The sequence below is a fragment of the Homo sapiens genome, chromosome 4 (genome assembly GCF_000001405.40).
Source record: "Homo sapiens chromosome 4, GRCh38.p14 Primary Assembly".
In the NCBI taxonomy this organism is placed as follows: Eukaryota; Metazoa; Chordata; class Mammalia; order Primates; family Hominidae; genus Homo; species Homo sapiens.
The window spans coordinates 52,882,629-52,906,007 of record NC_000004.12 but is presented as its reverse complement, the minus strand read 5'-3'; the positions used below and the strand labels follow the sequence as shown (position 1 = coordinate 52,906,007).

General features: G+C 44.4%; 1 protein-coding gene across 1 annotated transcript in view; it reads left to right on the top strand.

The window, feature by feature from the left end:
* The window catches only part of SCFD2 (sec1 family domain containing 2), a 493,080-nt gene that overhangs the window by 460,054 nt on the left and 9,647 nt on the right, over nt 1–23,379 (top strand). Inside the window, exon 8 of the mRNA NM_152540.4 lies at nt 20,142–20,261. Within this exon, the coding sequence (NP_689753.2) occupies nt 20,142–20,261 (120 nt within the window). The remainder of the gene's footprint in view (nt 1–20,141; nt 20,262–23,379) is intronic.

Genomic DNA, 23,379 nt, shown 5'->3' with positions numbered 1-23,379 from the left:
TAACAAATTTGATTGTTTCTTTACAGTCCAACATCACAGTGCCTTTAATACACTAATGGACTTTACAATCCTTCCTGAGGAGAATATGGAATATATTATAGAACAGAGTCGTGTTGTGTAAGGAATATCCACCTGCATTTTCTGTCACTGTTTGATGAAACAAGAGTGTCACTTGTTGTTGTTGTTGATCATGTTTATTTTGGAGTTTATTTTTTAATGACCCTTTCAAATTCTGCAGAGTGTTTTCTACATCTCTTCCTGCTCCACTGTCCTCAAGCAGGTTCCACCTAGGAAGATGTTTAGAATCGTCCTGGGCAGCACTGGGCTGTTGTGTTTCTCTCCATTTCAAACCCCCAGTGTTAGGGCTCGTGACAAAATGCTCTGCCAGCTTAAGACTGATCTCAAAGGGAGGTTTCCAAGTAATGGATTTAAGAAAAAGGAATTTATGTTCTCCCAGCAGCTGTCAGGATCCATTCCTCAGCCTTTAGCTGTGAGGCCTCAGTTCTCAGTTGCCAGGGCATCTCATCTATCTACAGGGGGTGGGGGAGAGTTCTGGTGGGCTGGCAACAAAGCCCTGTCCACTCCAGCCCCCAAAGGAGAGCCATTTTGTTTGGTTTCTAAATGGGCCTTCTCCGTGGCTGAACCCTCCTACAATTCCACACAGTAGAGCAAAGAGTTACCTCTGGCGTATGTGTTGGGGTTTGAACAAAATTGGAATGAACTTAAAGAGGAACACCCAGTAGGGCTTTGAGACACTGACTGTAATTTCCCAAAGAGCTACTTCTTTGAGATAGAGGTGAGGCCATCAAGAGAAGATGTCTACCACTCTGCTTTAAGGCTCTCCAGAAGAGGAGGATGCAAAATGCAGATGGAGTCTAACATGGTTATAACCATTTACCAGCCTTCTTCGTGTTGTTTTCCATCACCTCTTACTATCCAAAGTTATACAGAGAACCTGTGATCAGTGTGTATCACGGTTCAGCCAAGTTCTTACCATTCATTCTGATATTGATCCTCATGACAGCCTTAGAATGTAGGTCCTATCATTATCCCTGTTTACCAGTGAGGAAACTGAGGCCCAGAAATGTTAAGCAGTAGATGTGAACCTCCAGAAGGCTGGGATTGGGTCTTACTCTCCTCTGTTCTCAGGCGTTTTCCTAAGAGCACACAGGAAATAGTGACACCAGAATTTGTCCCAAGGTCACTCTTATTCCAAAGCCTAGCTCTTAACCACATTTCTTGGCTCCAGGAGGCTGCCAGGCATTTTCTTGGAAGTTAAGTATTCATATACTCATATGTTATTCTTTCTGGTTTCCTTCATGGTTACTCATTAGCACAAATGCTCTGCCTTTCCAGTATCTATCCAGCTCATGAATAAAATCTATGCCTGGGCTGGTCATCAAGACAGCCAGTGTGAGTGAACTCCCTCGAGGTCATCTGCTGCTACCTCATCTGTGTCTCTGCGACTTGGCCCTGGGACTCATTGGCAGCGCTCCCCAGGAGAATAAATGTGTGCATTAGAGTTGAGTTGCGTGTACACATTGCATCTTCATTGTGTATTAGCTACCAACAGTTATTGCTCATTTCTTTCTTGTCGCTTGCTGCTCTGCTCTGTTCCTCTGGAATCTGCTCCCTCCTCCACTTCTCACTGAAGACCCACCAGTGCTGAGCCAGAAAGACACAAAAAGGCAAAGCCTGGTGAATAAAGTTATCAATGCGGAATCCTTCCTGTGCTCAGGGTGCTGCCGTACAAATGGGATAATTCTAGAACTTGAAAGGCTCTAGCTGAGCCGCTCATCCATCTCTGTCCTGTTCCTGAACTCATAGATGGTTTCGTGATGATGTTGGCTCAGGGACACCCGGAAGCAGGGTCTATAGACTGTGCGGGGATGAGGGCAGATTGAGAGGCTGGTGAGAGATGTGCTGGGAAAGAGAGCCAGCAGTTATTCCCGTGGGGTGTGGAGTGTGTGCCCTCACAGCGGGTGATGAAAAGAATACAGGAGAGTGTTGTCCAGGCCCCATGTGGCTTCTTCAGGGCTCTATACATTTTGTTCATACTTTTGTAGCTGCACTCATACACTGTTTTGTAACTATACATATTAGGTACCTTTCTCCAGACTAATGTTTTTCTTCATGCTAGCGTTTTTCTAACTGCACAACTTGATTCACTGCACATTAGTGGGTCAAGATATCAATTTAATGGTTTTAATCAGCATGTTTTTAAATGAAAAAGAATAGAACAGATTAGATCAGAGTTCACTGCATCTAGCAAGGTAAAATAACACAACCCAGTTGCACATAGATACACACGCATGATTTAAATGTTTTCTTATTTATCAAAAGAATGTGAGAGCTATCACTGTGAGAATCAGAAAGCTGATCTGGGTCTTATTCTTTTCTGCATCCTCAGCGGTCGGCACCTGTATAGGCCTTACAAACAACAGAGGCTCACCAAAAGTTGGGAGAGTGGTTAGGCTGGACCTGTTTTAGTCCTTATTCAGAATGCAGCACAGCTTCAAGTCACTGGTTCCTCTTTCCAACTACTGCCCTTAAGCCAAAAGCTTCTATCTCAGTTTCACAGGGGATGCAAGGTAGCAGCCCCATCACTGAACTCCAGTGACCCTCAAAGGAGGCCCTGACCCTCCTTTCCAGCAGCTACTAAGCAAGGCAAAGCTGGTCATTATTTCATCTGTAGGTAACCCCAAAGAAGCAGCAGCCCACTCGCTCTTGCCTCGCCCACCATGCATTGATGTGCACAAGGGGAAGGAAGCCTGCCTCTACCTCTGTCAAAGAAATCTGATGCTCTCTTCTCCTTTCCACGCTGACAGTGTGCAAGTCTGTTTCTTCCAACTTCTTTGTTTCTCTAGAGAACAGAACAGAAATAAAGGGGTGTATTTTGTAGACTGAGAAATTCAAGGAATCGAGAGGAAAAATGTGACCTCACAGAGTGGTCACATAGGAGGATGAGTGACACAAAGGGAGATTTGAGGCTCTTTCCTATTTAACATCTTTATTTTTTAAGTTAGATTTTATAAATGATAGACAGCTGTCTCTTTTCATGCATTCCTTCCTCATGACGTCTACTATAAGCTATGCTAATAGCAATCACTTCATTCTACTGTGTTTGTTTACAAGAGCCAACAGAAAGTAGTGGTAACACATCTGGAGTCACACTACCTTGGTTAGAACCCAAGCTCCACCGTTTACTAACTATGTGACCTTGGGCACATCTTTGTGCCTAAGTGTCATCATCTATAGATCGGGGATGATAATAGCATCTACTTTGGGGGGCTATTATGAGAATTAAATCAATGAATGCATATAAAGCACTCAGAACAGTGTCTGGCGCGTAGTAAGTACTACGTAAGTATTTGCTATTATTATTTTTATGGATTTGTATCCCTGCCACACTGTGATGTCTGAAAAGAGCCACCTTGAATACCCTTGTATGCCTGTACATAGCCAGTGCTCAAGCATTTGGGGCACAAAGCCTAATTGTTGGGTGAATAAGTGAATTAAATAGAAGAGAATAGATACACTGCCCCCCAAAGAAGAAGTCACAAACATTTCATATTTCACTACTGATTTGCTCTTGTCAGAAAGACATAGAGTGCTGAGTGCTCTTCTTTTGCTGTGCCTGTGGGAAGCCATGTTTATAAGGCAGTGACGTGTTTTTCCAGACTCCCCTTTTTCTTCTCCACTGTGAGTAACTTGTTGAGCTCCTCAGTCTTGGGAGATATAGACTGTCCTTCTGGGGCAAACTGTAGGGAGCCAGTGAAATTCTGGACACATGCCATGACAAGCTGTTTCACAGGAATGGAGGTCAGCAGGGCTAGACCCTGGCCAACACAGAGGCAGAAGCCCCAAGCTACTCAGGCCCCCAACTCTCCCAGGAGCACTTCAGCAGTGCAGTCTCCACGTATGGGGAATGAGCAAGAGCTGTGCTCTGCAAAGGTTTGCTGCTGCTCCTTGGGCAGCCTCAGCACTGCAGGGAAATGGAGACCTCCATTCCAGGTACTTGGAAATGGCTCACAGAACTCAATCTTATTTATGTACATTTTTGCAGGCAGCGAAAGTTAAGAAAAATACCTGTGTATGTAAGATTATCTGCATCAAACAAATCCTCTGCGATAGGAAAGTCAGGGTAGCTGGATTTTGCCTTTACTAGAGTCAGAATTTCATTTGCATCATATTGCAACTGGTTGAACTTACTTTCTTTGCAGCATTTAGCATGCATTCCTGTTGAAATCAGATTGTCCAGAGAAGCCTTTCATCTCCACCTGTTCTGCTTATCTATTGCTACATAACAAGTCATCCCAAATCATTGATTTAAAATAATATTGATCATTCATTTTACTCATGAATCTGCACTCTGGTTAGAGCTCAGTAGGGAAGGATTCACCTCCAAGATGGCTCATTCATATAGTCAGAAAGTAGATGCTGAGTGGCAGCTGGCAGTGAGGGGCCTCAGTTTCTTTCCATGTGGCCATTCTCATGTGGCCAAGCTTTCTTGCAATATGGCAGCTGCATTCCAAGGGCCAGCATCCTAGGAGACAGCCAGGATTCAGATGTATTGTATTTTATGGCCTAGCCTTAAGTGCCACATAACATCACTTCCACAGCACTGTGCTCTATTTGTCAGGGCCATCAAAAATGCCCACCCAGGTTAAAGTGGAGGGGACCTGCACTCTTCCTCTTGAAAGTGGATCAAGAGCCGGGGGTGGAGCCAAGATGGCCAAATAGGAACAGCTCCAGTCTACAGCTCCCAGCGTGAGTGATGCAGAAGATGGGTGGTTTCTGCATTTCCAACTGAGGTACCGGGTTCATCTCACGAGGGAATGCCGGACAGCGGGTGCAGGACACTGGGTGCAGTGCACCGTGCATGAGCCAAAGCAGGTCGAGGCATCGCCTCACCTGGGAAGTGCAAGGGGTCAGGGAGTTTCCTTTCCTAGTCAAAGAAAGGGGTGACAGACAGCACCTGGAAAATCGGGTCACTCCCACCCTAATACTGTGCTCTTCCAATGGGCTTAACAAACGGCACACCAGGAGATTATATCCCACACCTGGCTCAGAGGGTCCTGCGCCCGCGGAGCCTCTCCCTCATTGCTAGCACAGCAGACTGAGATCAAACTGCAAGGCGGCAGCGAGGCTGGGGGAGGGGTGCCCGCCATTGCTCAGGCCTCAGTAGGTAAACAAAGCGACAGGGAAGCTCGAACTGGGAGGAGCCCACCACAGCTCAAGGAGGCCTGCCTGCCTCTGTAGGCTCCACCTCTGGGGGCAGGGCACAGACAAACAAAAGACAGCAATAACCTCTGCAGTCTTAAATGTCCCTGTCTGACAGCTTTGAAGAGAGTAGTGGTTCTCCCAGCACGCAGCTTGAGATCTGAGAACCGGCAGAATGCCTCCTCAAGTGGGTCCCTGACCCCCGAGTAGCCTAACTGGGAGGCACCTCCCAGTAGGGGCAGACTGACACCTCACACGGCCGGGTACTCCTCTGAGACAAAACTTTCAGAGGAACGATCAGGCAGCAGCATTTGCGGTTCACCAATATCCACTGTTCTGCAGCCACCGCTGCTCATACCCAGGCAAACAGTGGACCTCCAGTAAGCTCCAATAGACCTGCAGCTGACAGTCCTGACTGTTAGAAGGAAAACTAACAAACAGAAAGGACATCCACACCAAAAACCCATCTGTACGTCACCATCATCAAAGACCAAAGGTAGATAAAACCACAAAGATGGGGAAAAAACAGAGCAGAAAAACCAGAAACTCGAAAAATCAGAGCGCCTCTCCTCCTCCAAAGGAACGCAGCTCCTCACCAGCAACGGAACAAAACTGGACGGAGAATGACTTTGACGAGTTGAGAGAGGAAGGCTGCAGAAGATCAAACTACTCCGAGCTAAAGGAGGAAGTTCAAACCCATGGCAAAGCAGTTAAAAACTTTGAAAAAAAATTAGACAAATGTATAACTACAATAACCAATGCAGAGAAGTCCTTAAAGGACCTGATGGAGCTGACAACCACGGCACGAGAACTACGTGACGAATGCACAAGCCTAAGTAACCGATGCGATCAACTGGAAAAAAGGGTATCAGCGATGGAAGATGAAATGAATGAAATGAAGCATGAAGAGAAGTTTAGAGAAAAAAGAATAAAAAGAAATGAACAAAGCCTCCAAGAAATATGGGACTATATGAAAAGACCAAATCTACGTCTAACTGATGTACCTGAAAGTGACGGGAAGAATGGAACCAAGTTGGAAAACACTCTGCAGGATATTATCCAGGAGAACTTCCCCAATCTAGCAAGGCAGGCCAACATTCAAATTCAGGAAATACAGGGAACGCCACAAAGATACTCCTCGAGAAGAGCAACTCCAAGACACATAATTGTCAGATTCACCAAAGTTGAAATGAAGGAAAAAATGTTCAGGGCAGCCAGAGAGAAAGGTCGGGTTACCCACAAAGGGAAGCCCATCAGACTAACAGCAGATCTCTCCGCAGAAACTCCACAAGCCAGAAGAGAGTGGGGGCCAGTATTCAACATTCTTAAAGAAAAGAATTTTCAACCCAGAATTTCATATCCAGCCAAACTAAGCTTCATAAGTGAAGGAGAAATAAAATCCTTTACAGACAAACAAATGCTGAGAGATTTTGTCACCACCAGGCCTGCCCTAAAAGAGCTCCTGAAAGAAGCACTAAACATGGAAAGGAACAACCGGTACCAGCCACTGCAAAAACATGCCAAATTGTAAAGACTATCGAGGCTAGGAAGAAACTGCATCAACTAAAGAGCAAAATAACCAGCTAACATCATAATGACAGGATCAAATTCACACATTACAATACTAACCTTAAATGTAAATGGGCTACATGCTCCAATTAAAAGGTACAGACTGGCAAATCGGATAAAGAGTCAAGACCCATCAGTGTGCTGTATTCAGGAAACCCATCTCACATGCAGAGACACACATAGGCTCAAAATAAAGCGATGGAGGAAGATCTACCAAGCAAATGGAAAACAAAAAAAGGCAAGGGTTGCAATCCTAGTCTTGGATAAAACAGACTCTAAAGCAACAAAGATCAAAAGAGACAAGGCCATTACATAGTGGTAAAGGGATCAATGCAACAAGAAGTGCTAACTATCCTAAATATATATGCACCCAATACAGGAGCACCCAGATTCATAAAGCAAGTCCTTAGAGACCTACAAAGAGACTTAGACTCCCACACAATAATAGTGGGAGACTTTAACACCCCACTGTCAACATTAGACAGATCAACAAGACAGAAAATTCACAAGGATATCCAGGAATTGAACTCAGCTCTGCACCAAGCAGACCTAATAGACACCTACAGAACTCTCCACCCCAAATCAACAGAATATGCATTCTTTTCAGCACCGCACCACACCTATTCCAAAATTGACCACATAGTTGGAAGTAGAACACTCCTCAGCAAATGTAAAAGAACAGAAATTATAACAAACTGTCCCTCAGACCACAGTGCAATCAAACTAGAACTCAGGATTAAGAAACTCACTCAAAACCGCTCAGCTACATGGAAACTGAACAACCTGCTGGTGAATAACTACTGGGTGCATAACGAAATGAAGGCAGAAATAAAGATGTTCTTTGAAACCAATGAGAACAAAGACACAACATACCGGAATCTCTGGGACACATTCAAAGCAGTGTGTAGAGGAAAATTTATAGCACTAAATGCCCACAAGAGATAGCAGGAAAGATCTAAAATTGACACCCTAACATCACAATTAAAAGAACTAGAGAAGCAAGAGCAAACACATTCAAAAGCTAGCAGAAGGCAAGAAATAACTAAGATCAGAGCAGAACTGAAGGAAATAGAGACACAAAAAACCCTTCAAAAAATCAATGAATCCAGGAGCTGGTTTTTTGAAAAGATCAACAATGATAGACTGCTAGCAAAACTAATAAAGAAGAAAAGAGAGAAGAATCAAATAGACGCAATAACAAATGACAAAGGGGATATCACCACCAATCCCACAGAAATACAAACTACCATCAGAGAATACTATAAACACCTCTGCGCAAATAAACTACAAAATCTAGAAGAAATAGATAAATTCCTCGACACATACACTCTCCCAAGACTAAACCAGGAAGAAGTTGAATCTCTGAATAGACCAATAACAGGCTGTGAAATTGAGGCAATAATTAATAGCTTACCAACCAAAAAAAGTCCAGGACCAGATGGATTCGCAGTTGAATTCTACCAGAGGTACAAGGAGGAGCTGGTACCATTCCTTCTGAAACTATTCCAGTCAATAGAAAAAGAGGGAATCCTCCCTAACTCATTTTATGAGGCCAGCAGCATCCTGACACCAAAGCCTGGCAGACACAACAAAAAAAGAGAATTTTAGACCAATGTCCTTGATGAACATTGATGCAAAAATCCTCAATAAAATACTAGCAAACCAAATCCAGCAACACATCAAAAAGCTTATCCACCATGATCAACTGGGCTTCATCCCTGGGATGCAAGGCTGGTTCAACATATGAAAATCAATAAACTTAATCCAGCCTATAAACAGAACCAAAGACAAAAACCACATGATTTTCTCAATAGATGCAGAAAAGTCCTTTGACAAAATTCAACAACACTTCACACTAAAAGCTCTCAATAAATTAGGTATTGATGGGACGTTTCTCAAAATAATAAGAGCTATCTATGACAAACCCACAGCCAATATCATACTGAATGGGCAAAAACTGGAAGCATTCCCTTTGAAAACTGGCACAAGACAGGGATGCCCTCTCTCACCACTCCTGTTCAACATAGTGTTGGAAGTTCTGGCCAGGGCAATCAGGCAGGAGAAGGAAATAAAGGGTATTCAATTAGGAAAAGAGGAAGTCAAATTGTCCCTGTTTGCAGATGACATGATTGTATATCTAGAAAACCCCATCGTCTCAGCCCAAAATCTCCTTCAGCTGATAAGTAACTTCAGCAAAGTCTCAGGATACAAAATCAATGTGCAAAAATGACAAGCATTCTTATACACCAATAACAGACAGAGAGCCAAATCATGAGTGAACTCCCATTCACAATTGCTTCAAAGAGAATAAAATACGAGGAATCCAACTTACAAGGGACGTTTAGGACCTCTTCAAGGAGAACTACAAACCACTGCTCAGTGAAATAAAAGAGGATACAAACAAATGGAAGAACAGTCCATGCTCATGGATAAGAAGAATCAATATCGTGAAAATGGCCATGCTGCCCAAGGTAATTTATAGATTCAATGTCATCCCCATCAAGCTACCAATGACTTTCTTCACAGAATTGGAAAAAACTACTTTAAAGTTCATATGGAACCAAAAAAGAGCCCACATCGCCAAGTCAATCCTAAGCCAAAAGAACAAAGCTGGAGGCATCATGCTACCTGACTTCAAACTATACTACAAGGCTACAGTAACCAAAACAGCGTGGTACTGGTACCAAAACAGAGATATAGACCAATGGAACAGAACAGAGCCCTCAGAAATAATGCCGCATATCTACAACTATCTGATCTTTGACAAACCTGACAAAAACAAGCAATGGGGAAAGGATCCCTATTTAATAAATGGTGCTGGGAAAACTGGCTAGCCATATGTAGAAAGCTGAAACTGGATCCCTTCCTTACACCTTATACAAAAATTAATTCAAGATGGATTAAAGACTTAAATGTTAGACCTAAAACCATAAAAACTTAGAAGAAAACCTAGGCAATACCATTCAGGACATAGGCATGGGCAAGGACTTCATGTCTAAAACACCAAAAGCAATGGCAACAAAAGCCAAAATTGACAAATGGGATCTCATTAAACTAAAGAGCTTCTGCACAGCAAAAGAAACTACCATCAGAGTGAACAGGCAACCTACAGAATGGGAGAAAATTTTTGCAATCTACTCATCTGACAAAGGGCTAATATCCAGAATCTACAATGAACTCCAACAAATTTACAAGAAAAAAACAAACAACCCCATCAAAAAGTGGGCCAAGCATATGAACAAACACTTCTCAAAAGAAGACATTTATGCAGCCAAAAAACACATGAAAAAATGCTCATCACCACTGGCCATCAGAGAAATGCAAATCAAAACCACAGTGAGATATCATCTCACACCAGTTAGAATGGCGATCATTTAAAAGTCAGGAAACAACAGGTGCTAGAGAGGATGTGGAGAAATAGGAACACTTTTACACACTGTAAACTAGTGCAACCACTGTGGAAATCGGTGTGACGATTCCTCAGGCATCTAGAACTAGAAATACCATTTGACCCAGCCATCCCATTACTAGGTATATACCCAAAGGATTAGAAATCATGCTGCTATAAAGACACATGCACACGTGTGTTTATTGCGGCACTATTCACAATAGCAAAGACTTGGAACCAACCCAAATGTCCAACAATGATAGACTGGATTAAGCAAATGTGGCACATATACACCATGGAATACTATGCAGCCATAAAAAAGGATGAGTTCATGTCCTTTGTAGGGACATGGATGAAGCTGGAAACCATCATTCTCAGCAAAGTATCACAAAGGCAAAAAACCAAACACCGCATGTTCTCACTCATAGGTGGGAATTGAACAATGAGAACACAAGGACACAGGAAGGGGAACATCACACACTGGGGACTGTTGTGGGGTAGGGGTAGGGGAGAGGGATAGCATTAGGAGATATACCTAATGCTAAATGATGAGTTAATGGGTGCAGCACACCCACATGGCACACGTATACTTATGTAACAAACCTGTACGTTGTGCACATGTATCCTAAAACTTAAAGTATAAAAAAAAAAGGTGGATCAAGAGCATGAGGAGCAGAAAATACTGTCATGGGCACTTTTGGAAAATACAATCTGTACCCCACCTAAATATGTTTGGCTGTCCAGCTAGGCAAGGCAGTGTTTGGCTAATCCTAGGAGTTTTCCCTCCAATCTAGAGGATGGAAAAGTCACTCATGCTTCTATGCTGGTTTCAAAATAAGTGAGCCCAGAAAGGCTTTGTTAGTGAAAGACCTGTTTGCTATTCTTCCATAATGTTTTTTAACAATATAACATTTTTAAAAATACTTCCGGATAAGAAACTGAGCTAGGGAACTTTCCTCTCCCAAGTTTGCTCCATCAAGTCCCATAAAGTAAGCCAGATGAGCTGGGGAGAAGAGCAGGTATACCCACTAGATCATTTTCCAGCAGTTCTGAGAAAGTGTTTGAAGTAACTTGATGTACTTCTCAACCAGAGGATAGACTTGCGGTTAGCCACACAAAGCTGTCAGCTTCAAAGGGCAGTGTGTGAAGCCCACTAGGGAGTGGTTCTAGCAAACTAGGGAGAAACAGCTTTGGCAGAACCTGACATTCTTCAAACAGCCTTTTCTCTAAAATCCTTGTGCATGGAATACCTTGAGCTCCTTAGAGGAAAGCTTGATAATGATCTAACAAATAAATCAAGACATACCTTACCCCTCTCCCTACAACATTAATTTAATTTAAAACTAGCATGTCTAATAGGCAGCACTTTTAAAGTGCATTTCTGGAATTTGTGGTTTGGATCTCAGTCTCCTGAAAATAATTTATTTTCTATCTACTCCATATGTTTGGACCTCAGCTTGTTTTGACTAAAGGACATGATTTGTCAAGATGCTTTCTCTGCTAAAATTGACATGAGAAGGGTGGGTTTTTATCTAATGAAACTGCATGAGGCCCTTTTACCTCCTTTTATGTGTGCTTTTTAAGAAGTTCTTTTTTTGTTCTTTCATTTCTTATGTGGCCATGCTTAATTGGAAAACAATTTTAAAACTATGAAAAAGACTCACAGAAAGCCCAGTGCTTACCTCTGGGTCCCTTGTTTGAGTGGATATGAGTCCCCCATTGCCTTAAGTGGCAACAAAAAGAGGACCACAAAGAGAACTAGAGCAAGGTAGTTTCAAAGCTCAGGTAGGCTTTGAAAAGCTGCTGGTGGTGAGGGGGTAAGTTAAAAGTCTTTCCATTGGAAGTAAGATGCCAACAAATTGCAATAACTTAAAGAAAGGAAAATTTATTATGAGGCCCATGGGATGTCCTGGGGAGCCCAAGGACAGCAATGAGAGAGGCCTCAGTAAGGATTGAGACTAAGAACTGGAAAGCCATCAGGAAACCAGGCAGTTCTGTGAGACCCATTCTGCCCTGCATGAGAACAGCGCCCTGCATTTTGTAGATGCTCAATAAATAGTATAAATGAATGGTTGAGTAGCTATTGCCACAGCTTTGACTGAACCTTATCTATCTTAGGTCAAGCCTGAATTCCCAGGGAAGGGCCTCTAGTTGGCCCACCCTGGGTCAGGGGGCCATTCCAGGACCAATCAACTGTGGCTGAAGGACAGGGTCACATTGTAACTGCATGGATGCTAGGAGCCTTTCCTATGACCATGTGGGCAGGGGAGATTGTTGGCTTGTGGATTGGACAGATACCTGCAGAGGAATATACAGCAGGGGTAAAGGATGCTTTGGAATGCAGAGCAAAAATGATGGGCTGTCAGTAAAGACTGATGTCAGGTCCTTGGATGGTGAGAGCTGAACATGCCTTGGAGGTCATCTAGTCCCATTCCACATTGTTCATATAAGAAAAACAAGACAGGGTGCAGTAGTGCTCCTGTAATTCCGGCTGCTGGGGAGGCTGAGGCAGGAGGATCGCTTGAGCCCAGGAGTTTGAAACTAGCTTGGGCAACATAGCAAGATGAAAGAAAGAAAGAGAGAGAGAGAGAGAAAGAAGGGAAAGAAAAGAAAGAAAGGGAGAGGAGAGGAGAGAAGAAAAAGCAAGATTCAGAGGGTTGAACTATTGGATTAGGTCCATTGGACTTAAGGGCATTTCCGACAAGAGGAAAATATCTCAGTGTTCACGTTTGTTGATTAAATGAGTACAAGTCCTGGAATTCCTCTTTGCAACACTATTTGAAACCATTGTTTATATTTTCTTTTTCTTAATCATACTCCATGCTATGAAATAGGGTTCAGTATTTGCATAACATTAGCTAAACATGATCCATAAGTTCAAGTGAGATAGATTTTGGTATGAACTGTAAAGCAAAAACACAAACTTGATTTTGGCAGTCTGCGTATTGCATCTGACAGTGTGCAGTGATGGAGAGGCTCTTTTGTATGCTAGTCATTGTTGCGGTTAAGGAAGATATAGAGACAAACCAGGTTCCCTACCTGCCAAAGCACAGCTATATCATGTAGCTTACAGTTTGTTAAGGAGATGGATAAGAAAATTGAGGATTGCAGAGAGGAGAGATAAGTGGTGTGGTGGATGGGATGTGAGGACACAGAGGAGTAGCTCAGTCAGGGAGTCAGAGAAAGCTTCCCAGGGGAGTTGGATTTTGCCAGACCAGCAGGAGTTAGGAACTCCAAAGTAATGAAATGCCATCATATATTGAGGTGAGTGAAGGCAATTCCAAATGGCTGGAGCTAAGGGTGACCTGCAGGGAGTAGAAGAATAGGAAGACAGAGATAAGCAGACACTAGATCCCAGAGGGCTGGAGTTTTGACATTTGACCAGAAACACTGAAGTGCCATTGGATGTTTGCTAGGAATATATAACCAGTTTACATTTTATGAAGTTCACCCTGGCAGCAGTGCACAAGACAGAAACAAGAGCAGACTGGCTTGGGGAGGGAAGGTGAGAAGATGAAAGTCTAAGGTCAAGTAGGGCCAAGGGGACAAGGGGGCAGGGATGAAGTCTGGTGGATTCCACCGGACGGGGATTGAGGGGATGCAGCCGTAAATGAGTGGAGGCTGTCTAGGGCCATTTGCTTAGTTTGGAGTGACTGAATGGACAGTGTTAACATTGTTTCTATTGGGAAGCAGAACTGGAAAAGAAGAAAACTTGCACTTCAGACTTGTTGAATTTAGGAGCCTGAGAGACAGCCTTATAGCTCAGCAGAGCTTGGGCCAGTGGTAGCAATCTGGGGACACTGGCATGTGTGAGGCATTGAACTATGGACAGGGCCAGGGCCACCAAGGGAGGATGTTTGGGAGAAGATCAGGGGCCAGAGGCCAGAGCAGTCAGGAACACAGCTTGTCATGGAGCAAGTTGAGCAAGAGGAGCCCTCCAAGGAGGGAGAGAAGCTAAGAGGGCTTAGAAAGTGGAGGGCAGGGGGGACATTTCAGGAAAAAGGAAGTCATCAACTGCAGCAGATGAGAGGTCAAGCTGAATAGCCGACAGGCTCTAGCAGCATGGAAACCTTTTGCAATGGGATTAAGTGTAAGTAAAAGTAAGTCCCACAAGGCTCTGGTGATTGGCTGATATTTCTAAAGAACTAAAAATACAGAGTTTTCAGAGATGAATGCTAATAAAAATGCTTTTCGTTTGAAGAATTTGTTGGGAAAAGGCGGTATGTGGAATGAAAGGTAGAACGGTTACTGCTCTGCAGTGAGATGGTCTTTGATTTCAACCTCAACCCTACAGCTTACTAGTTCAGCCGCTTTGGACAAATTATTTCACCTCGTTAAGCCTCTGTGTCTCTGTGTGAAATGGGGCTTCTGCCTGCTTCATAGATTCTAAGGCTTGCATAAAGTGATGCTTGTCACTTACCCTCCCCCACCTGATTTTCCTCCATAGCACTCACCACCTTCCTTACTTACCCACTGACTTACTGATTTTATTGACTGTCACTCTCCCTCCACTAAAACATAAGCTCTGTGACAGCAGGGGTTCTTTTCTCTTTGGTTCACTGATGAATCTCTGATGCTTAGAATGGTGTCTGGCCCCACAGTAGTTGGTCAATAAATATTTGTTGAATGGATGAATAAATGAATGAAACATGAGATGTGAAGTGTTCGGAGGGAGTGGCAGTGCTGTTACTAATTCTTGGTGGGAGAAAAGCCATTACCAAGGCCCAACTTCAGTGTCAACCTGGGTGCTTCCTAGGCTTAGTACCCCTTAAGGCCAAAGCTCCTATTGAACTGTCTTCCTTCTACAAGGCCCTGCCCATAGCTGGAGAATGACCTGCCCCTTGCCTGTTGTAGGGACAAATGAGTCACAAATAAAGAGAAACTGAGTGGAGGAGCACCATGTGGAGGAGGAATCAGGATCCCAAACTCTTAGAGGGCGCCTAGAAACTGGAAGCAGCAGCAGAAACCCTTCTTTTGACAACCCCAGTGATAGACGACAATCAACACATCAAAGAGCTCTCTCAGGGGCGCACACCTCAAAAGGGGTCTCAGCAACCTCTGCTGCAAAGGTTGGGATGGAATAGTGGAAGGAAACTGTCTTCTCTCACCAGAACTGATGTCTTAAAATCACAGCCAGCAAAGATTTAGAAAATGAAAGAAAGAACAGTGACTCGGACTTGCTTTATTAATCTGTGCATTTGCAATTGCAGTAGTTATGCTTCAGTCTTTCATCTTCAAAGTGCCTTATACCATGAACTAACATGCAAACATGCAAACAGGACTCAGTCATGTATGGCTGATTATAAGGAATGTGTTATTCTGATGGAAAAGGCTGAAAAGACTCCACTTCCCAACAGTCTGTTGACTTGAACGGCTCCACAAGAAAAGTCTGGTATCAAAACATGAATCTAAACAGAAACCAAAATAGCAAACACCAACATGCATTAATTGGACCCATTTATTTGTACCAAAACCAACATTCCCCCACTCCTTAGCCCCAGGGTATTGTTCTTTGTTGTTGCAGTTTGTTTCTTTTTTTCCCTTTTCATCTGTCAATACATCCTTCCAAGATTCTCCCAATGTACTTTGGATTCCAGACTCTCTTATAGAAAGCATATGTCTTTGGGAACATATTGCACCACGTTCAAGTTCTGGAGCCAATTTATTTCTGTCCCAGGATTAACTGAGAAACAACAATTGTTTGTAGGGCTGGAAGGAAGGTCTGGGTTACTTACTCAGCCAGAAGAACTATGCATAAAGCAAAGGGAGAGTTTCTAAGAAAAGAAGGGCCTTTCCTGTTAACCTGTGGATATGATTCATTCCTTCATATGACTATTTCATTCATGCAACATTTACTGAAAGCTTACCAGGTGCTAAGTACTAAGCACAAACAGGCCAAAACCCACTGGTGTGGTCCACACCATGTCCATAGGTTACAGGCTTTTCTTACTGATATGGAAAATCCCCAAGGTGTATGGTTGAGTAAGTATAAGGTAGAGTGTTAGAGTTCAAGATGATGATTGCCTGTGGGGAGGTAGTGACAGGAGTAGGTTATGAGAGGGTCTCTTCAGGGTGCTGGTTTTCTGTTTCTTGGTCTGGGTACTGGTTACACTGGTTTGTTTACTTTAAAATTAATGGAGCAGCACACTGGTGATATGCATACACTCAGTAAATTATCATATGTTTAACAGATATTCCAAAAAATAAACACCAGGTGTTCAGGTATGGCACAAGCCACTGTGAATGGTTCCAGCAAATAATGTGTGTGGAGGAGATGAAAATAGAGTCATAAACCAGAGCCAAGTTGTAAAAGCCTTATATGCTGAAATACAGAGTTCGAACTTTATCCTAAGAGCTATGAGACTCTATGCAGATAATCTGAGTGTGTGATGGAGCTGAGAGGTGTTTTAAGAGTGTGGCCTCTGGCGTTTTGCTCCTGGATCCATTACTGTGCATGAACCTCAATCTCTGCATTTGCAAAATACACTAATAATTGTGTTTGCTTTCTAAGGATATTTTGAGAATTAAATAAGATAATACACAAAAATAGTTAGTACAATGTTTGCTATTTTCAATAATAAATATTTGTATTTTAGAAAACATACTTGGCAGAAATGAGGAGAATGGATGGGGTATGGCCAAACTGCGGATGGGGAGACAAACTTGAAGGCTATAGCAGCGATCTAATGTGGAAGTAATCAAGGAGATGTTGATAACCTTAAGTAGGTAGAATGAATAGAACGTCATCTGGGAGATGAAAGAGACAGCAAAGTCTAAGATGTCTCTCATGTGCCTGGCTCAGGTGACTTTGAAGGTGGTGATGCTGTTAGAAATTCAAGAGAAGGAAGGGTTTTGGGGAAAAGATCATGGATCACATTTGAAACCTGTTGAGTTCAGAAATCCCAGGAGGTGTCGTCTGCAGGAGCTGGGTGGTGATGTCCACAGGAGCTCAATAGAGATGACTGAGCAAAAGACATAGGTTTGAGAGGTACATAAAAGATATTGAAGGCACATGAGAAGATGAGGTCCTTCAGGGATGTTGCATTGAGTGCAAAGGGCAAGGAACCAAGGATGGAGCTGTAAGTAACAACATTTAAATGGGCAGACCAAGAAAGGGAACCTATTAAGAAATCTGAGAAGAAATAATTAGAAGGGTAGAAGGAACTACCTAGAGAAAGTACTGTCATGGTACCTAAGAAGGGTGTCATCAGCTGTGACATGCCATAGAAATGTCAGGTTAGATGATGACAAAGGAGTGTCCATTGACTCCTACAATATGATAGCCATTGGTGACTCCGATGAGAGCAATTCCAGGGTACAGTAGGACAAAAGCAGCATTGCTATGGTGTCTGGTATGCAGATTGGAAGAAAGCAGTTGACAAATTGGTCGGGGGAAACAGAGGTGCAGAGCAGGATGCGGACTTGAGTCTTTTTCTAAAGATGAGAGTGTTTTGAAACTTTTTCCAGTATTCACCACCACCTATTTTGAGGTCATTAGATAGTCCCCCAGTCCTCTCTCTTCTCTCTGTCCTTCCTTTCCTCCTGCCTGCCTGCCTTTGCATTCTGAATTTCCTCTTCAGAAGCCAAGGAATAACTTACATAACTTGGAATACTTAATGCATCATCCTTTCAAGTGCTTTTAGAATAAGATGTTGATTGGGAGGCCGAGGCGGGTGGATCATGAGGTCAGGAGATCGAGACCATCCTGGCTAACAAGGTGAAACCCCGTCTCTACTAAAAATACAAAAAATTAGCCGGGCGCGGTGGCGGGCGCCTGTAGTCCCAGCTACTCGGGAGGCTGAGGCAGGAGAATGGCGTGAACCCGGGAAGCGGAGCTTGCAGTGAGCCGAGATCGCACCACTGCAGTCCGCAGTCCGGCCTGGGCGACAGAGCGAGACTCCGTCTCAAAAAAAAAAAAAAAAAAAAAAAAAGAATAAGATGTTGAGACGTGGGTATAATCAGGCAAGGGAGCCAGAGAGTTCAGCTGAGAAAGGAGTTGGGGGATGGTAAGAGAAAGGGCTTCCTCTTGACCTGCTCCTCCCCCAGGCACTCCTCGGGACTGCCTGTGACCCACAGATGCGTTGTGTTGGGCAAGAACACTTACTACCTTCATTCCCTCTCTCCTTGCTGGAGGTGAAGCCTGTTGCCCACCTTCTGGCTTTGGTGGCCACGCAGGCAGCTGGCAGACTTTTTCCTGCAAGGACTCCATGCATGCTCCATTCTGGCTGGGCCTCCCTGTCCCGCTCCACCCTTCTGGTGACTGATTTTCTCTGGAACTTGACTCACACTATTTCTCCTGCCCACTCCATCAAACCAACTGTGGCTTCCAGATTCAGCTCAAAACATACTGTCTTCAGGAATCCCTTCTTGTCCCCTCAGTGTCTCCATCACTGAGTCTAGTTATTGGTCGTTTTGCATTTCCTGAGTGGTTACTTTGAGTTATTCTCATTTTAGTATATAAGAATATTTTTGCCTCGTTGATGAAATCATAAGGAATCAGGAGGAATTCTCCACAGCATCTAGTGTAGGTTCCATGCAACATGGACCCTCAGCTCAGGCTAGCTTGAAGAAGTTAAGGGCTGTAAGTCGGTACTGTACTGTAAGCACCTTGAGGATGGGCCCTGTTCTCTTTCATCTTTGTATACCCTCTGCGTCCACCTACCTAAAGCTTTAACTATTTATTAATTCCACTAACATTTATTGAGCACCTATTATGTAGAAGAAATTGTACTAGGTAAGGTGGGAATAGCATAAACCAGGAGGATGAGGCTCTTGCCTCATGGAGTTTATGTTCCAGTAGAGAAGATGGCCAACAAGTAAACAAATAAATAAACAAACAAATAGAGTAGCCACAGGCTGCTGTAGATGCTTTGAAGGAAATATACAGAGCCATGCAACAAAGAAGGGGGCACATTTATGCTGAGACCTGAAGATTAACAAGGAAGAAAGAAGTTGTCCCTCAGCCTTCTCTTGTTTTTAGTAGCTCCTGCTCCTTTAACTTTTCTTTCAATGAAATCTTTATTGAAAGAGACATAATAAGGTACTGTGTTATACATTTTCCTGGTCAATGAGTTCACAGACCACTGGGACATCTGGTAGCTAAGAAGTCATCATCTCTCTAAGGGCTGTTTATCACACCTGCATAATGGAGGTAGTGATGCAGGATTTTTCTCACCCACTTTGCCAACCAGGGTCCTCCACAGCCAGCAATGCCCCACTCCCAGGCCTTGCTAGGCCCTGGGCCTGCCACAGGAGATGCCCCACCTACTCGGCCCACTGGGCCATACCTGGCTTGTGCACTGGCTTAGCCTGTGGCTAGGCAGGCATGCCCCAGCTCACCCATGTTATAGCTCATACCCACATTTGGTGGTTCCTGAGTTCTTGTCCCATGCCCAAGAAGAAAGAGGTCACACTGACAATTGAAAAGTGAGGAGCGTGGAGAAGAATTTTATTGAACAACAGAACAGCTCTCAGCAGAGAGGGGATGCAAGGGTGGTCCCCCAACCGAAGTCAGGTGGTTTTTCTCTGTGTGTGACTGAGTCCAGGGCTTTTATGGGCTCAGAATGGGGAGTGCATGCTGATTGGTTTGCAAGTAAGCAAAAAAAAGGCTAAAACAAAGTCACCGCTCAAAGATGGACATGACAGTGTAAACAAACAATTAGGGAAGGGTAGGTATATGTAAAATAGGTGAAGGGTAGGGATCAATCAGAGGAAAACACACCAAATGGGAAGACAAGTTCTCAATCCGGTCCATGGATTTACCCGGGACTTGTAGCTAGGTTTTAAACTGTCATCAGGTTTCACCAGGGACCCACCCCTGTCTGCCTAGGATTTGTCTGCCTCCTGCCACTATCAGTAGTAGTCCTGAGGTTTCTACAGAGGGACAATGAAGATGGTACCCAGCTGCATTGTGCCTGCATCACTGCCATCCATCTGATATTGCTGGTGTTTTGTTTTGCAGGTGAGCCGGCCTCATCCTAGTGACTACCCCCTCCTGATCCTCTTTGTGGTAGGTGGGGTCACAGTCTCTGAAGTGAAAATGGTCAAAGATCTTGTGGCATCGTTGAAGCCAGGAACCCAGGTACTGAGTCCTCCATGCTTTGAACAAGAGCTCAGAAGTAGGGGTGTGAAGGGTGGGTGAGGGCCCTCCACCTATGGGTCCCAGTGCCCCTCTCCTAGCCTGCCTGCCCATCACCCTCTTGGCTTTGTTCCCTCCCTCCTGCTACCGCCTGTTTCACAATGTCTTCCTGCAGCCAGAACCAGCCCGACATGCCCTGGAGTTCCTTTGTTCTCAGTGGTGGAGGACTGGGTCATTTTGATAAAGTCTATCATGACAGGTTAAATGCTATGACACCAAGCCAATGAGCCTTAAATGGAAACTCTGTTCTTTGCAAAATAATCTGGGGCAGGGTGGAGTCCGGTGGGGTGAAGGGAGGGAGGAGAGCTCTTCTTTTCTAGCTCTGGGCTTCTGGGGCTAAGGTACTGTTATCCCTATTCTTGATTCCTTAGGGGCCTATATTCTCTGGTGTCCAATCAGTGTTGAATCACTCAGGAGTTTTCACTGCTTTCTAGGCTCCAGATATGGAGGGATAACTCCAGGAACCACCTCCCAACTGTGGCAATTAGAGGGCGGGGCCAGAGGAGTGTGGGAAGGATCACTGTCCAGACAATGACTAGTGTTGTAGCTTTCTTCTCTATACCTCCTGTCAGGCCCCATCCCATCCCCTAAACAAGAAAACTGGCTCTGTGGCCCAGTGGTGAAGAACATAGACGTTTCTATTTTATGGGCCCAAGTTCCAATCCTGCCTCTGCCTTTGACTAATCAGGTGATCTGGGAGGGAAAAGCCCTCAGTTTCCTCATTTAGGAAATGTGCCAGGGTGGCTGTGAATCTTAAATCAGAAGAGGCTTGAGAATATGCTTCTTAGCACTGTGCCTGGCTCAGAACGCTCAGTCAATGATGGCTGCAGTTATTCCCGGCCGTTTTTGAGCAGTCACCACACTGCTGTGCTGGAGGGTTTGAGGCTCACAGCATGATGCAGCAGGAGCCCAAGGAGAGAGGCTTCTGGAAGAGGAGAACCCCTGCTTCTGGAAGTTCTCCTGTGACTGGGGATGCACAGCCTGTTAAATCAGTAAGATGTAAAACCCTTGCCTTAGTGTGTTCCCCAAAACAGCCCCTGAGCCAGGGATGAGAGAGCAGGTAGTTTACTTGGCAGATGATCCCAAGAAGCAGAAGTGAAGTGAAGAACTCAGAAAAAAAAAGACAGTGAAGAAGAAAAGCCACAAAACGACACACTGCCAAGCTGGGTATGCTCTGGGCGCGGTCCACTGGTGGCCCCTGAGGAGGTGGTGTTACATGACTCAGAATTGTCATGCCAGAGGTCAGAGAGCCTGGGGATGTCTTCCCTTCCACTCTCATCCTCCCAGGTTGAGACTTGACTCTGGGGGTGTTATCTTCCCAGTGCTCTGGGGTTACAGCTTTGTGCCACCTCCTACCTCCACCCACTACTGTACATATCCACACAGCCAGCTCCAGGAGCTGCATCCTTCCCTTTTGTGACATCCTCCCTGTTGCTCCAGGCTCTTTCCACATATCTACCCACATCCCCATCTATACTGGGCAATGCAGCTCTGGACTTCTCCCTGACTACTTCATATTTGCTGGCCTAGTCTCCTCAATCAAATACAAATTCCTTGAGGACAAAGGCTGGGGCTTTCCAGGCTGGAGCACATGGCAGTGGCTCAGTAACCCTTGTAGTTTGAGGGGTTTATTGACTCCAAGAGAACTGGCCTGGTAGGAACAGTCTGTGTTGTTGGAGTGGCTGAGCTACCAGGTTAAGCCAAGAAGGTCTGGTCCCTGCTGGTCTCCAGACACCCAACGGAGGAATGGGACCTGGGTACCTAGAGAGCTACAGCAGACTCTTGAGCAGGGGAGTGGCCAGTTTTTGACTATGACCATTCTTCTGTTACTATCACCTGTTATGGTCATAGCTGATGAGATTTCTGATAAATTTGTAAATTCTGTTTCATTTAACACCCTCCCTGCCAGCAGTGATAAGGTTCTGTTTAATGAATGATTGCCTTTTTGAGCAAGACCTCTTTTCTTTTTTCATCAGAAACCACACTTCTTGCTGCCCCTAACGTGGTGAACCAAATTCTTAGCTCTTCAGAACAGTGATGCATTGTAATAGCCTGACAGACATGTTAATCCCTACTCTAAAAGGATAAAATGCAGACGTTTTCAAAGTCCTGTGACCTGAGTTTGACAACAGAGCCCCGGAATCTACAGTGACTTTGCTGCAATCTGACCCTGTGCTCAGTCATCTGCAGAGAGAGCTTCTCAAAGAATTTTGAGCTTAAGGATCAGCCTTGACTGCTACTTGCCCTTTGTGCAAAAAGCTCCCCTGAAGAGTTAGCAGGCCCTAGGAAGATTCCTCAGGCAGCAGGGGAAACAGAAAAGGCATTCTTTATCATGAAGTCCTTCATCTCCACATTTTTGAAAGGAGGTGAATTACCTGGATGTTTGCAGAGTGACACATGCTGTGGCGGGTCTCCCTTTCTTAGACCTTGACAGACACACAGCTGCCCTGGCCCTACAGCAAACTCTGCCGATCTGAGACATGACCAGCTTCCTGCTTTTTAGAGTGCAGCGGAAATCATGCCTTGCTGCCCTAGCAACACACGAAGTGGGATGCGTGCTAGTTCCATTGTCTGCTCAGACTCAGACTTCTGTTCGAGAACACATGTGACCTAATTGAAGGGGATAGGTTCTATGGAATCTATACCCAATAGACTGTCTAAGACCTTTGGGCAAGCAAGGGAGTAACCCTCACTTGATCATTGGTGTAAACAGCAATAATAGACATAGCTAGTGCTTCCATTCTGGCTTTACTATCCAGCCTTTACTTGACCATCTCCCAGGATGAGGATTTGTCCCCTCCCACTGCAGCCTATTTGAGGCTTGGAGGGTGTATTAGTCAGGGTTCTCTAGAGGGACAAAACTAATAGGATAAATGTAGATATAAAGGGGAGTTTATTAAGGACTATTGACTGACACAGTCACAAGGTGAGGTCTCACAATAGGCCGTCTGCAAGCTAAGGAGCAAGGAAGCCAGTCTGAGTCCAAAAGCTGAAGAACTTGCAGTTCAATGTTCAAGGGCAGGAAGCATCCAGCATATGAGAAAGATGTAGGCTGGGAGAC